Genomic DNA, 15291 nt, shown 5'->3' with positions numbered 1-15291 from the left:
AGAGTGGATGTGAGGTTGGCCGTAACCTGAATCTACCATGTCTTCTGTCCAGCTTGGTTGACACATGTTGCCTTCATGACATTTTAGAGTTTAAAGATAAAGTTTTTGTATAGTGGGGCTCCTGTTGTGTACTGACTTGTGTTTCTAAAAATTCATATGGACTCAAGAGCACACAGTGGCAGAACTAGGACTTGTTGCTTTTCTGTAATACATTTCCTTTTACTATGTTATTTCCTGACTCCGGACTAGTAGGGCTGAATAAAGGCAGGGTAGACAGCTGCCAGAAGGCTCGGCGCTTCCACCTCCCAAAGGCAGGAAGAGCTGGGAGCTGAACAGCTGGCAGGAGGGGTACCTTGGTGATTGTCTACACAGAATCATCTAGAAGAGCATGTCCCAGACGTACCTTATCTACAGCCAGCAATTTGTCACCTTCAGCGCCATTGGTGCCTGGAATGTCTTCAGCTGTTATCACATCAACCACTTCGGGTAGTTCAAGGGCCTTGGACACATCAATTGATCTAAACAAGAGATATTTAAGAAGTAGAAATCACTCTGGGCAGGGTGGTGGAGGTCTGTAATCTCAGTACTTTGGGTGGTCAAGAAGGGAGAGATTGCTTGATGCCAGGAATTTGAGACCAGCCTGGGCAACATAGCAAGACTCTGTCTCAACAAAAAAAATTATAAAAATTAGCCAGGTGTGGTGGTGGCGCATGTCTGTAGTCCCAGCTACTCAGGAGGCTGAGGTGGGAGGATGGCTTGAGCCCAGGAGTTCAAGGCTGCAGTGAGCTATGATGGTGCCTCTGCCCCCAGCCTGGATGACAGAGCCAGACTCTGTCTCTAAATTAAAAAAAGAGGAAGTAGAAATCAGCAAGCTTTGAGGGCCCTAAATTTGAGGGAGGGATAGAACATGGTTGAAAATCGGAATATATGACAACAAATCCAGCTTAGGTCCTGACCAATCAGAACAGACCTGCCAAGGAGTAGGGTCCAAGAGACTCCTGCTGGGCCAGGAGACAACACTTTAGCTGTTGGGGGTTGGGAGGTGGAGAAGGGATAGTGTGGCCTTGGCAAGGGGCGTTCTTGAAGGTTGGGACAGGGGCCATTCATTCTTGGGCATGAAGTGGGTATTTCACCACCACCTCAATACCAGCTCTCTATCAGGGTTGTGCCTTTGAGTCATGTCTGAGGCTGTAGCAGGGAGCTGAGGTTTTGTGAGGTTAGGAGGGAAACAAAAGGCTTGTAACTGTGATTTTTCTTTCTTTTTTGAGACAGAGTCTTACTTTGCTGCCCAGGCTGGAGTGCAGTAGTTCGATCTTGGCTCACTGCAAACTCCACCTCCCAAGCTCAAGTGATTCTCCTGCCTCAGCCTCCTGAGTAGCTGGGATTGCAGGTGTGTGCCACCATGCCCAGCTAATTTTTGTGTTTTTAGTAGAGACAGGGTTTCACCATGTTGGCCAGGCTGGTCTTGAACTCCTGACCTCAGGTGATCTGCCCGCCTTGGCCTCCCAAAGTGTTGGGATTACAGATGTGAGCCACTGAGCCTAGCCAGTGATTTTTATTCTCTCTCCATGATGTTCATTTCTAGATGCTCTCCCTTCCTCCTGGAGCTGGCAACCTTTTCTTTATTCTTTCCATTTTAGGTCCTTTAAGTTCAGGACATGGCAGGAGCATGGGCGCATTCCTCTGAGGGGTCCCCAAGTGTGCTTTTAAAAGGCTCTTGAAAGCTCTTCGTTTACTTACATGATTTTTGCATGAGCCCTGCTACTGGTCACCAAAGCCATGAAAAGTTCTTTATCCACCATGGGAATGTCATCACAAAACATGGCTTCCCCAGTGGCATGTTTAAGAGCTGACAGGTGCATGATAGGGTGTCCAACTGGGTCTTGGAGAGGCTGGTGAGGATCCACACTCTACAGGGAAGACAAGAGTTGCCTCAGAAGCCTTTAATTTTCAGAAGTGGCCTGGCCTATCACCAACACTCCTGAGCTAGGATTGAGAAATCGGATGGTCACCCTCGGGTGACAAACACTGGAGTGGGCCAGATGATGAGTGTGACACATTGATGATGCCACTAGAACAGTGAATTGTTATTTCAGTTATGTGGCAATAAATGGCGAAGTAGGTGAAGGGGCACCCCAGCTTCTCCTTCTGGCATTTTCTTTTCCCTGGTGGTGTTCTCAGGGGTCTCGCTGTCCTGCCTCCTCACCTTTCCAATGATCAGTCTGTCCACGGGTACTGTCCTCATGATGATGGGGGGTAAAGTGATACAGTTCCCAAGGTGGGATGCCAAAATCCAAGCCCGAAGCCCAAGTATGGACTTGTTTGGGGCCTCTGGCACAGGGTTTGGGGGATGGCAACAGAGTCCCCCCAGATCCAGAATAAGGTGTCCTGGCTGCCCTTGGGAGTGGCACAAAAACATCACTAGGCTGTAAGGAGGTGGAGATAGTGTTTATTCTGGAGCTCCTCTCAGGGAAGCTCTGTGTGTGTGTGTGTGTGTGTGTGTGTGTGTGCATGTATGTGGAGGTGGGGTGGGAGAGGCGTTGTGCTGTAGCAAGAATCCATAATTTCTAAACTGTCCTGCCAGAACGGTGAGTTAAGTTACTCGCAGGGCATTTGTTTGCTGACTGGAGATTAAACATTTGCAATCAGAGCTGGGGGCTGAACCTTCTGGCTCGGTTGCTCTTCTGAGTAAATATCAAACAAATGCCCAGAGAATATCACTTTGAAGAGACTATAATGATTAGACTGTAGATTAGCTGGACGGTTCAGCCTTGAGCTCATCTAGCAGCAGCTTGGGCCTGACCTCAGATTCCAGCGTCTCCCTGACGCGGACTAAGCAAAGAGCCACGACTAGAATGTCAGACTTGAAACCACAGCTCTGAAAAGCTTGCTCGCTCAGCACAGCTCTAGTTTGCAGGTTTCAGTTAAATCAAACTCACTGACCTGGTACGTTTGGACTCCCTGGGGTATTGTGACTGGGAAATCTTCGAGAGCGCTTAGGAATTGGTCTGAAATTTCAGAATGATGACGGCTGTCCTGAAAGGTGATTCAAAACAATAAAGATAAGCTGGTTAGCTACAGTTAAACTGGGCTTTGGTTTACGTGAAACTGACTTGGCTAATGTATCCAGCATAGTGTGCATAACCAGGATCCATACTGCCTGCCCCGGCTTCATGTTTTATGAATGTTTCTTGTTCCCCTCCTCCCTCCACATAATGAGGACCTGGACTGACTGCTTGGAATCTGATCCTCAAGCCACCCTGAGGAGGCAGAGGCCTGCCAGAGAGTAGGGGTAGAGGCAGGAGGAGAAGCAAGGAAAATGGGCTAGATAAGCCATCCCAGAATAAGCAGGTATCCATTGCACACAAAAGGACTCAAAGCCAGATTGCTTTTCTCAGGAACTCAACTCTCCTGGGAGAGCGGTAGAGGTGGGGAGGGTGCTCTGGGTGTCACTGAAACTTGTCAAGTGTCTTGATTCAGAAATTAAATGGCAGCAAGGATTATCCTGGTGAGTGTGGTTGATGAGGGTCTTCATCTGAGTCTGTGAAAATCAGATACCTTAGAACAGCAGGCTCTTGGGGTGAGCTGTGGTTGGGGAACAGGGAATACAAGGTAGGGTGAGTTGTAATCATGGTCAGGGGAGGGGTGGAGAGAGAGAGAGAAGGAGAGAGAGAGAGAAAGAGAGAGAGATAATATATTTTGCTTTGCTTAGCTTATTCCAAAAGTTTACAATCAGAAGAATCTAGAAAGCTATTTAAACATTAGCATACACATCAGTTTTTGGTGTGTGTGTGTTTTTTTTTTTTTCATACAGGCTCTTGCTCTGTCGCCCAGGCTAGAGTGCAGTGGTACAAACATGGGTCACTGTGGCCCCGACCTCCCAAGCTTAAGAGATCCTTCCACCTCAGCCTCCAAGTAGCTGAGTCTACAGATATGTGCTACCACGGCCAGCTAATTTTTCTATTTCTTATAAAGATGGGGTTTCCCCATGTTCCCCAGACTGGTCTCCAACTACTGGGCCCAAGCCTCCCTTGGCCTCCCAAAGTGCTGGGATTACAGGTGTGAGCCACCATGCCTGGGCAGTTTTGGTTGTTTTGAAAAATAAAATATTATTTTATGTTTTAGATTGATCATAAAATTACAGAAGAGGCAAAATGAATCTCTAGTGCCAGCAAAGTGATTGGTGGTTGCCTGGGCCAGGGGCAAGATGGTGACACAAGGGGGCATAGGATACTCTTTGGGATAATGGAAAATTTGAGGTGGTAGCTACACAGATATACACATTTGTCAACATGCGCTGAATTTAAATAGGTACATTTTATGATGTGTAAATTACACTTCAATAAAGTTGATTTTAAAAGAAAAAACTGGCAGCAGGGACACCACAGTGTTTCAGTGTTCAGGGCACGCAGTCAACATTTGCGGACTGCAGAGAGTCTGGCGCCATGAGCCTCATGTAGCCCCTCAGGGCTGGATTCCAGGAGGAGGGCCGGCTGGGAACTGACGAGGCCTGACTCAGAGCAGGTGACAGGTAACAGCACAGGCTGTGCACGAGACAATTTGCCAAAGTGATGGGAAAGCTGTGAGCTTATGGGTGCAAGGAACACATAAGAGCCAGATGCTATGGGTCAAATTGTGTCTGTTCTAAATATCTGTGTTGAAGTCCCAGCACTCCAGCCCCAGTTCTTCAGAATGTGGCCTTATCCAAATAAGGCAGGGCCTTTACTGCAGAGGTAATCAAGTTAAAATGAGCTACTTAAGATGGGCCTAATCCCATATGACTGATGTCCTTGTGAGAAGGGGAAATTTGGACACACATGTACCCACAGAACTTCATATGAAGACAGATCAGGGTGATGCTTCTAGAAGCCAAGGAGTGCCCAAGATTGCCAGCAAACCAGCAGGAGCTAGGGGAAAGGCAGGGGGCAGAGTCCCCTGCACAGCACTCAGAGGGAACCAGGCCTGCTGACGCCTCCAGAACTGTGAAGGAACATGTTTCTATTGTTCAGGCCAGGCAGGCTGTGCTACTTTGTTTCAGCAGCCCCAGCCAGCGAATACACCAGAGCACCCACAGGCACAGAGACTAGCTTCACCAGCTTCTTCAGTTCCTGCAGAACCTCTAAGTAGAATTTGAAGAGGAAGCTGACGACTAGGGTCCTCATCCTCTTGAATTCCACCCGGCCACCCGGGGCTGAGCCTGGGAGCGAGACTTCATCCAGAAGCAGCCTGCAAGCCTCATCCAGCAACAGCTCATTCCAGCACCTGGGAGGGTTGAAGGCAGGAAGGAATTGGTTAGAGGGCAGTTTCTAGCATGGCATGATATGGGATAGTGACCTTTTAGAGACCCCAGAGTTTCCTTGGAAACTCAGAAATCACCTAATCAAGCTGCTTAGGGAAACCAAGGCCTGGGGAGGCTGCATCGAGTGGCCCAAGGGTCATGGCAGGGTGAGAATGGGACCTGCAACTTAAACATGAACATGTTCCACAGCCAGACATGCTAGAATCAAGAATTAAATAAGCAGTGCAGGCCGGGAATGACGGCTCACGCCTGTAATCCTAGCACTTTGGGAGGCCAAGGCAGCTGGATAGTTTGAGCCCAGTAGTTTGAAACCAGAATGGGCAACATGGTGAAACCCCATCTCTACTAAAAACACAAAAATTAGCTGGGTGTGGTGGCACACACCTGTAATTCCAGCTACTTGGGAGGCTGAGCACGAAAATCACTTTGAACCCAGGAGGTGGAGGGTGCAGTGAAGCCGAGATTGCACCGCTGCACTCCATCCTGGGTGCCAGAGTGAGACTTCATCTCAAAAACAACAACAACAAAACAGACCACTAGGGCCAATTCCATTGTGAACTGAACGGGACTCAGACTTGGAGACTGACTTCACTGAGGAAGTAATAGAGTGCACTTAACGGTGGGAGCATTAGGTGCTGCTTGGACACTGCCCAGGGTGGGTTTGCTAGACTTTTTTTTTTTTTTTGAAACACAGTCTTGCTCTGTCACCTAGGTTGGAGTATAGTGGCATGATCGCTACTCACTGCAGCCTCAACCTCCAGGGCTCAAGTGATCCTCTTGTCTCAGCCTCCTGAGGAGCTGGGACTACAGGTGCATGCTACCATGCCCAGCTAATTAAAAAAAAAAAAAAACATATATATATATAGTAGAGATAGGGTCTTGTTTTGTTGCCCAGGCTGGTTTTGAATTCCTAAGCTCAAGCAATCCTCCTGCCTTGGCCTCCCACATTGCTGGGATTATAGGCATAAGCCATGGCATCAGGATGGCTAGGCTGTCGATCTGTGTAAGAGAACGAGGGCAGATGGGAAAAAATCACCTGCTGGCTGAACTCAGGCCAGGTCACTTTTGTTGTATACCTCATCCAAAGACTGGCATCCAATTAATCAAAGTCAAATAAGGTTTAATTCATTTAGCAAAATGGCAGAAAGAACAGGCAGTGATTTTCATGTAATAGTTTCCATCTTCCCAGGGCTTTACTGATGCTTGCCAGAGACAGATCTCCACTTGTTTTATTTAACAGCAAGCTTCCCCCTCAGGGTGCGGGCTCTTGGCTTACCTCCCAAGGAGTTGCTAGCAGGATCTGTGTGCACTGATGGTGGCAGCCCCCACCCCTCCATAGGCGATGCTCAGGTCCTCAATGCTGTCTGTGCCTTCTTTGAGAAGGACTCGCATGCCGGCATTCACGTGGGGCAAGGCATTCTGCTGGCATTGAGCCTGTCGGAAGGCTGACACAAATTCCCACTGTGGAGACAAAAACCATTTGGGGTTATCTGATATGTCAAAACTAAGAACATGGTTTATGCTTCTTGTTGCCACTAATTAATCACTTAGACACAATCTAACAAGACACCAAGGACAGTTGGCACAATTAGAGGACACCTTGGCTGACTTCTCGTTCAAAGTGAGAACAGCGTCCTCCCCAAGGCCCACTCTCAAGGCCTCGGGCACCCTCAAGGAACAGGGACCACCGCGCACTCTCCCTTGGAGGCCAGGATGCCTCTGCACGGGATGCTGTGGGAACTCACGCCTGGACACCCGTCCATGTGCTGGCATTGCCAGGGGCCATTCCCTCCAGTTTTCAGACACCTTTTCCCCATGAGGTTGGAGGAGCCCTCCTAATGCAGGGGCTTTTAAAGGTGATTTGCTAAAAGTGCAAAGGAGACCCACCACATTGCTTGGCTTGTAGAAATGATTGCTTTTCCACTTGGCAAAGCACAGAAGGGAGCCGAGCAAAGCTTTCCAGCAGTGGCTAGGGAATCTTGTGTCAGGAGGAAGAGTCAAAGGTGATGGCTGTCCCAGCTGACCCCTTGGCACCATGACCTTTGGTGAGCCAAGGTGGGGTCCATGAAGACGGCCTGTGCCCCTTTGTGCATTTCCATCTGTGCCGCCACGAAGGGTGCACATGTTTGAGTGGGCTTGTTTTTCCGTCTGCTGCCTTTTCATGGATTTAAATGGGAACACATTTCAAAGTTTCCATTCCAAAGGAAAAACTAATGAAGATCACACATGGCTGAAAGCATAACTTATGACTCCCTCCATAACCAGGCTGCCCCCCGGCTTTTGATGCTATTAATTAATCACACAGACACAATCTAACAAGACACCTGGCACAGTCAGAGCTGTGCTGGTTGGAATGTAGGCATGGTTGTAGGAGGCAGGGGTGCCCCAAAGGAGCCCCCCACTGTTGATCTCTGCCTGGTCCCTCCCTGCTGCTGGGCCGGTGAGCTGATCTATTGCCTTGGCTGGAGCCGGGGCTGTGCTCCAGGTGGAGATGGCTGTGGCTGAGTTGGGAAAGCGGAGACCTTCAGCCAATGGTAACGACCAATGCCCCTGTAGAAGAATATTACTGCTACTGTAGCAGAAGGCCCCGGATGGGGAGTGGGCCATCCTCATCCTGGTGCCCCAGAGTCTTGGCTGCTCCTCTCTGGGACTTTGGGGGCTGAGCTAGGGGGTGTGTGTGTGTGTGTGTGTGTGTGTGTGTGTGTGTGTGTGTTGCATTGCCTCTCTCTGGGAAGACTATCCTCTTAGATTCAGGTACAGCTTTGGCAGAGGCACAGGGAGCAGGCAGTGAGGACAGAAGGTCAACTCCATAGCCGGCTGGGTGGCTACATCAGCCGCAGAGATTCTGAGTTAGCGAACAACTAGAGGCCCTCCTGCGCCCATGAACTATTGGCTAGAGTGGGGTGTGGGACAGCTGAGCCCTAGCCCCCATCTCCCTGTGGGTCAGTTAGAGACACTCCATTTGACAGCCCGAGAGCTTGAACTCATGGCCATGAGGGGTGTGGTGGTGTGACCACAGGCCCTCAGCATGCTCCACCCTGCAGCTAGAACAACAGCCCCACATCCACACCCGGAGCTGCCTGCTCTTGGCTGTCGGAGGGCCTTGGTGCTGGCCCAATCTGCAGTTGGACAGGAAACAGGTTTGCAGGGCAGAGTTATTTTCTTTCCATCTGTTTTTAGATTTCTAAAGATGACTGGACTCAGTTATGAAAAAGGAAAATCCACCCTCAAAAGCAACCAGCGGAATTCTGACCTTTTGAGAGTGCGGGATATGCACAGATTCCAAAATTTCCTCTGGCTTAAGGTCTGCACTTGCCAACCCAGCAAGAAAATGTTCATTTAGAGGAATCCGCCGCGTACCTTCTGTGGAAGAGAATTATATTTCTGCACAGTCACAACAAGGAGAGCAAGATTATTCTGTTCTTTTAAATGTCAGCAGTAGAGAAGGAAAGGCCAGCTTCCTCTACACAGAGCAAGGCTGAGGTCTGAGTCCACGGCAAAGTCACAGGGTCCCATCATGGGGTCCCAGGTGGTGGCACCGTAATGACATTACTATTTTCTCATCAGCATATATGCTATGTGAACTGGGGTCTCTTCTGCCTTGAAGGCTCACTGGGCCTGTGGTTAACTACATAGAACCTGTTCAGTGCTTATGATCACTTGTTAAGTCAACAACTTTAAGCCAACACACGGTTTGTTTGCACTTTTAACTATTCAGTTCAGTTCAAGCCACTGACTTTGCCTTGTGTTCTTCCTGCTGTTGTCAGCTCTTGAGACAGACACTTACACCTTTAAAACAAAGTGAAAAATTCTGAAACCTCCTTCTAGCCCAGTTGCCCCCTCTTGGGGACCACAACTGTGCCCTCTGGCCCACAGGAGTGCAGTGAGGAGATCAAACTATGGCCTGGGGACTGTGACATGCGTTTGATCCCTGGCACAGTGAGCGCTGTGCTGGTTGGAATGTAGGTATGCTTGTGAGGAAGCAGGGTGCCCCAAAGGAGGCTCCCACGGTTGATCTCTGCCTGGCCCCTCCCTGTTGCTGGGCCAGCGAGCTGATCTACTGCCTTTGCTGGAGCCAGGGCTGTGCTCTGGGTGGAGATGGCTCTAGCTGAGCTGGGAAAGCAGACCTTCAGCCAATGGTAATGACCAACGCCCCAGCACAGCCTGGCATGTAGTTGCATCCAGTCAAGGTGGTATTAGTATCTGGGGGGCAGTTGGGGGCAGTGTGAGTGTGCAGGGTGCTTGGGGAGATGAAAGGGAGGTTTAGCGGGCAGCCACCGCAAGGGAACGTTCCTCTCAGCTAGCAATTAAAATCAATCACTGCCTACCCCTTCCCAGGGGCCCACCACAGCCTGTGTGGATGTCCACTGTGTGTCCACACCAGCCTTGTAGCTTCTTACACAGCAACTGGGGGGTAGGGAGGCAACTTTGAGGGCACTGTGTGGGGGCCTCGGACTGTGTGTTGGCGGAGGGAGCCCATGATGAGAATGGGGGAGCAGGAGCAGTCCCTTGGCCCACAGGGAGAGTGCGCACTGCAACCTCACCCTCAGCTTAGCCTCTGCACATCACCTCTGGTGTTTACTGGTCAAGCAAGACACGTGGGCGAACATGTGAGCTAACTGAGTGTGTGGTCCCAGGTTGTGTGCGTGTGTGGTGTCAGAAGGAAACACCAGCTGCCTTTTGGATCAGTGCACCTTCCCTCATGAGCTGGGCTCCCCATGGTGAATTGAGAACTAGAGACTTGGGCTCTGACTTAAAGCAATTCCTTAAAAGAATAAGTAGAAAAGACAAAAGATCTCTAGGTGCTGTTCAGAGTGTTTGGAGGCAGCTTACCTGCTGAAATCAGATTGAGGGTAGCATTGCCCACAGCAAGAATTGGATTCAGGTCCGAATAGCAATGCCGGCTTCTCACATGCCCCCCTAAGGACTAAGGAGAGAGAGTTACAGCGCAGTCATTCCATCTCTCAGCTTCTCTACCCCGAAGGCACCTGCTGATGGTCCTCTTAGTGGCCATGAAAGGGTCAAGAGGAATCTAAGTCAGTTCAGTCTTTCTCTCTTTTGCAGAGGGTGTGGGTTCAGCTTGTCAGGGAGGGCCCCTCCCACTGGCTTCTTTGGATGGGAAGAGGACTCGAGGGTGCCTAGCACTTACCTAACACCAGTGTGTTCCACGCGCTGTCTAACCCCTGACACAACAACCCAGTGAGGTGGGTGTCGTTATCCCTATTTTACAGATGAAGACACTGAAGTACAGAGCAATTATGAAACTTGACCAATGTCCCCAGCTAGGAAGGGGCAGGCCTGGGATTCAGATTCAAGCAGGGAGGCTCAGCGGGAGTGAGCCACCCCACTCAGCCCTGGCAACAGTGAAGATGGCCATGGTGTTGGCTGCAGAGGTGCCATCTTGCCTTGGTGCAAAGGGTCTCAGCCTCATCTCCTGTGGGCTTCTGAAATGGCCAGACTTCACATGGGCTGTGTCAGTGTTCTGAGGCATCCACACAGTTGGACAGAGAATTGCCTTTTCACTCTTTTTTGGGAGCCCTCACTCAGATCTGATGGAGCCTGTAGCATTTCAGAACTTGGGAGGGAAATGACTGGCCATTGAACTCAAGATTCTCCTCCCAGCATAGGGAAGGAATCTACGGTGACCTCCTGGTTGCTGCGGTCTGGACTGGAACACAGGTGAGGACAGGGAATCCCCATTCCTTTATGAGCAGTTCCATTTTACATTTTTTTTTGTTTCCCCTGAGCTGAAATCTGGCTCCCTGGATCCTCATCTGTCAGTTACTCTTCTACTCTCTGCTCATATGTAATAACACATCAGACCTCAGGAGTCTAGACATAGTCCAAGGCAGCTCTCATGTTCCCTTTGCCTGTCCTCCCACCCCTAGTCCTCTTTTTGGGGTGGTTTCCAACCCCTCATTCTCCTGCCACCTTCTCCTCACCAGTGTACCTCGTCAGAGTTCCTGACTGGAGAGAGAACATTTTGAAATCACTTGAGAGCTGTTTTAAAGGAAACATGCCCTCCCTGGTTTTCCATATCCCAAAGATTTCTGCTATACAATTGAGGGTATGCAGGGGAAGGAGCATATGTGTTTCAAAAACCTAACTGTTTCTCTTTTCCTTTCTTTTGAGATCAAAATCAACCAGATCTTCAAGTATGCCTCCCAGATCTGACCATCTTTCTCCAGCTGTGTTTTGAACAGCCCAGAGTAGAGAAGGCTACCCTCCTTGTTTTAGATACTCTATTTTGTTAATGCAGCCTAAGACTAAACTAAGTTCTTGGACAAGCTTATCATGAAACTAGCAAAACCATAGCATCCTTTTCTCACCTGTGATGCTGCTTAGCCACTCTTTTGAGCTTGACTTATCGCTCTTCCTCTTCTTCTTTTTTTTTTTTTTTTTTTTTTTTTGAGATAAAGTCTTGCTCTGTTGCCCAGACTGGAGTGCAGTGCCATGATCTCTGCTCACTGCAACCTCTACCTCCTGGGTTCAAGCAATCCTCCCACCTCAGCCTCCCAAGTAGTTGGAATTACAGACGTGCACCACCATGCCCAGCTATTTTTTGTATTTTTAGTAGAGACAGGTTTCACCATGTTGGCCAGGCTGGTCTCGAGCTCCTGACTTCAAGAGATCCACCCGCCTTGGTCTCCCAAAGTGCTGGGATTACAGGTGTGAGCCACTGCTCCCGGCCTATAGTTGTTTCTTAAATATTTTTATTAAATAATGCTTATTAATTTTAAACATTTACTGCGCCTGTTGCTTCAATCTGCTGAGACCTTTTTGCATACTGATTCTGCCAACGCATATCTCAACATTTCAGTGAGGTTCAGAAATAGGTGCGGTGTGCCCAGTGGTTGAAACCAGGGAACATACCGCCATATTCCGGATCTGCTGGCCTGCCAGACTCCTCAGGTGCTTCAGGAGGGCTCAGTACGTCTGTGTTTTCTCCTCTGGGAGCTCAGCTACCCTCTCAGCCAAGATGTCCTGCATCTGGGCCAGGCTGCAGCCAGCGCCTATTGTCAGTCCTGGAAAGCAACTTGTTTTTACTGGTGACATAAGAGGAGCAGCTGAATTGTAATCATGGCACCAGGACCTCAGTGTTTGGCCAGTGCAGTGAGTATCCACATTGGCTCACAGAGAGTCGCTGGGAACTCAAAAACAGCACAGATGCCCCACTCCCAGATCAATTCAATTAGAATCTCTGCTGCCTTTTTTTTTTTTTTTTTTTTTGAGACAGAGTCTTACTTATTGCCCAGGCTGGAGTGCAGTGGTGCAATCTTGGCTCACTGCAACCTCCATCTCCCAGGTTTAAGCAATTCTCATGCCACAGCCTCCCAAGTAGCTGGGATTACAGGCACCTGCCATAGCCCTGGCTAATTTTTTTTTTTTTTAGACAGAGTTTCGCTCTTGTTGCCCAGACTGGAGTGCAATGGCGTGATCTTGGCTCACCTCAACCTCCGCCTCCCAGGTTCAAGCGATTCTCCTTCCTCAGCCTCCTAAGTAGCTGGGATTACAGGCATGCGCCACCATGTCTGGCTAATTTTGTATTTTTAGTAAAGACGGGGTTTCTCCATATTGGTCAGGCTGATCTCGAACTCCTGACCTCAGGTGATCCTCCCACCTCGGCCTCCCAAAGTGCTGGGATTACAGGCGTGAGCCACCTGCGCAGCCTAATTTTGTATTTTTAATAGAGACGGTGTTTCACCATGTTGGCTAGGCTGGTCTCGAACTCCTGACCTCAAGTGATCTTCCTGCCTTGGCCTCCCAAAGTGCTGAGATTACAGGCGTGAGCCACTGCGCCCAGCCTGGATCTCTGCAGATTTTTAAAAGGCTTCAAGGTGTTTTTACACAGCCAGAGTGAGATCTCCTGGGCTGGTCCACATTCTTCTTTTGACAGACACAAGGAAATAGAGGCTAGAGAGAAGGAATGACAGCAAAAACTTGCAGGTGGCAGACCTTACCAGAATTTTCCATGACCTCCTCCTGACTGATTGTGGTGAAGCTATGCAAAGTTGCTTTGTGATTAAGGGGGATAAATCGAATGGCATTACAATAAGGCAAAGGTCATTCAATTCCCCAGGTTGTTGTCTAAAATCTGTAATGCTTGGATTTCAGGTTTTGCACCCGATACTCAAAATCTTCAACAATCAGTTTTGTGAGGGGCACTGGTCAATTGGCCCATGTAAGGAGCTGCCCCAGCCATTTATGTTGAGCGTTACTGGGTATGAGGAAGTTGGGGGCTCCTGGGAAGGGTCCAGGGAAGTAATGGGAGAGCATCTAGCGATCGAAGTAATGCTATTTGCTAACTGGCAAGGAAATAATTCAAAATTTCAACCAACTTTGGAGCCATAAGTTGTGAGTATTGGCAGGATATTAGCATGAGCTTCAGGGTTTTTCTTCAGTAAGGATGAAAGGGTTCAAATCAGTCTTAAAAAGTGAAGTAGTCACCCAAACCCCCAGGAGATGAGTTAGGCAGCCTTTTAAAATTAATCCTTCACACCCGGGGTTTGCAGAATGAAACACTAACGTAGAGTGACTTGACATTACTAGCTGGGCTGGTTCTAATTGCAGTTAGTCTGTTTTTATCAGGTTGGGCTTTGATTTATCTCTTGTTGACTAATCTTTGAGAATATTTCACCCTCCTACATAGCTGTATTTTATCAATATTAAGAATGTACTTGGCATGACACCTCCCCCACCTTGCCAGCATACTCATGCAACACCCCGCTGCCTCAGTAATCTCAGCTAATTTAGTTGATAAGGGAACCATGAGCTGCTCCTTGTTATCCTTATGCTAAACAAATCTAAACTATCCCTCCCCGCTGGAATGTCTCAGCCTGGAGTTCTCACCCTGTTTCTGTTTTAGCGTCTCCTAAAATGTACTCTGTAACAGGGGATCTAATTTCATCCCAGACCCATCAGTGATGGTCTGTTGCTTCCTTATCACAGGTTTCAGTGGAGCCTGTTTTTTAACTTCTGGAAGGTCCTGGCCTGCCTTATCGTTGCAGGAGTACTAGGAAAATCAAGCTTTTTTTTTTTTTTTTTTTTTTTTCAGTCATACAATTCCTTCTCCCTAAGGAGAAGACCCAGAGCCTTATTAGTGGAGGAGAAACCAGAAACAAAAAAACATAATTATTATTAAGGTCAGAAGCATCACATAGACCAGCATCACCACCTCTTATTTGACACAGAGGGAAAAGGGCAGTTCAACCCCAGTGGGGATTGAAGTATCCCTGTCTGCTCTATTGCCTGAATCCTCATAAGAGTTCAAACACAGTTTGAAGCCAAATAACTCCATTTCCATTGCACACATCACCATGTCACCTCATGCTAGGCACGACACACCTTCTGCCAGGCTATACTGAGAACATTCTACTTAATGTGGTTCTATTCATATTTTATTCCATCTCTGGTCACAAAATCTAGGTTTCTTCCAATGCAAGTGAAAAGAACTTCAACTTTGATTCTCAGAAAGGGCATTTCAGTGGAACTCTATGCTTTTCAGAGTTCATGGGTCTATGAGGTAAACATGCAATGACTTTCTGGAGCACTCACTATACTAAAGATTTTGAGAAAACAAATGTATACTGAGCCAAACATGTAGGTCATATGATTGAGCATGCAAACCTTAAACAAATGTTTAAGTCAAAATTACAGCTGTGCAAAAATGTATTTCCTGGGTGTGCTGGTGGGGAACACATCTGGCTCCAGTACATCCCACCCCTGCCAGTGTCCTTCACTCATCTGGGACTTAGGAAAAGTTCGAGAATCGTGGAAACTTTCCTGCAAGCCACTAGAGGGTACTCATGCTTTAATTTTAAGAGCCCTAAAGGAAGGCGCATTGTTTGTTTTAGCTCTGCTTTGCAGAGACCAAACTGAGCAGTTAACTCACATAGCTAATTGGACAGGCTGTGGGGTGGACCTGAGGGGTAGAATGGCAGTAACAAAAAGAGTGTTGGCCAGGCGCAGTGGCTCACGCCTGTAATCCCAGC

General features: G+C 48.5%; 3 pseudogenes across 2 annotated transcripts in view; all 3 read right to left on the bottom strand.

Moving 5' to 3' along the window:
- AOX2P (aldehyde oxidase 2, pseudogene) overlaps positions 1 to 12345 on the bottom strand; it is a 52998-nt pseudogene extending 40653 nt beyond the window's left edge.
- Positions 1 to 15291, bottom strand: part of AOX3P-AOX2P (AOX3P-AOX2P readthrough, transcribed pseudogene) — a 99193-nt pseudogene that overhangs the window by 43932 nt on the left and 39970 nt on the right. For both annotated transcript variants that reach the window (NR_135011.1, NR_135012.1), the window contains 8 exons: positions 12173 to 12324; positions 10133 to 10226; positions 8553 to 8659; positions 6576 to 6760; positions 5073 to 5262; positions 2944 to 3036; positions 1741 to 1910; positions 404 to 518 (listed from right to left, as the gene is read on the bottom strand). The product of NR_135011.1 is annotated as an AOX3P-AOX2P readthrough, transcribed pseudogene, transcript variant B (transcript). The remainder of the gene's footprint in view (positions 1 to 403; positions 519 to 1740; positions 1911 to 2943; positions 3037 to 5072; positions 5263 to 6575; positions 6761 to 8552; positions 8660 to 10132; positions 10227 to 12172; positions 12325 to 15291) is intronic.
- AOX3P (aldehyde oxidase 3, pseudogene) overlaps positions 12203 to 15291 on the bottom strand; it is a 43059-nt pseudogene continuing 39970 nt past the window's right edge.

This window comes from Homo sapiens, chromosome 2, assembly GCF_000001405.40.
Source record: "Homo sapiens chromosome 2, GRCh38.p14 Primary Assembly".
Classification (NCBI taxonomy): Eukaryota; Metazoa; Chordata; class Mammalia; order Primates; family Hominidae; genus Homo; species Homo sapiens.
The sequence above is the reverse complement of the archived record's forward strand: the minus strand, read 5'-3'. Positions and strand labels throughout refer to the sequence as shown.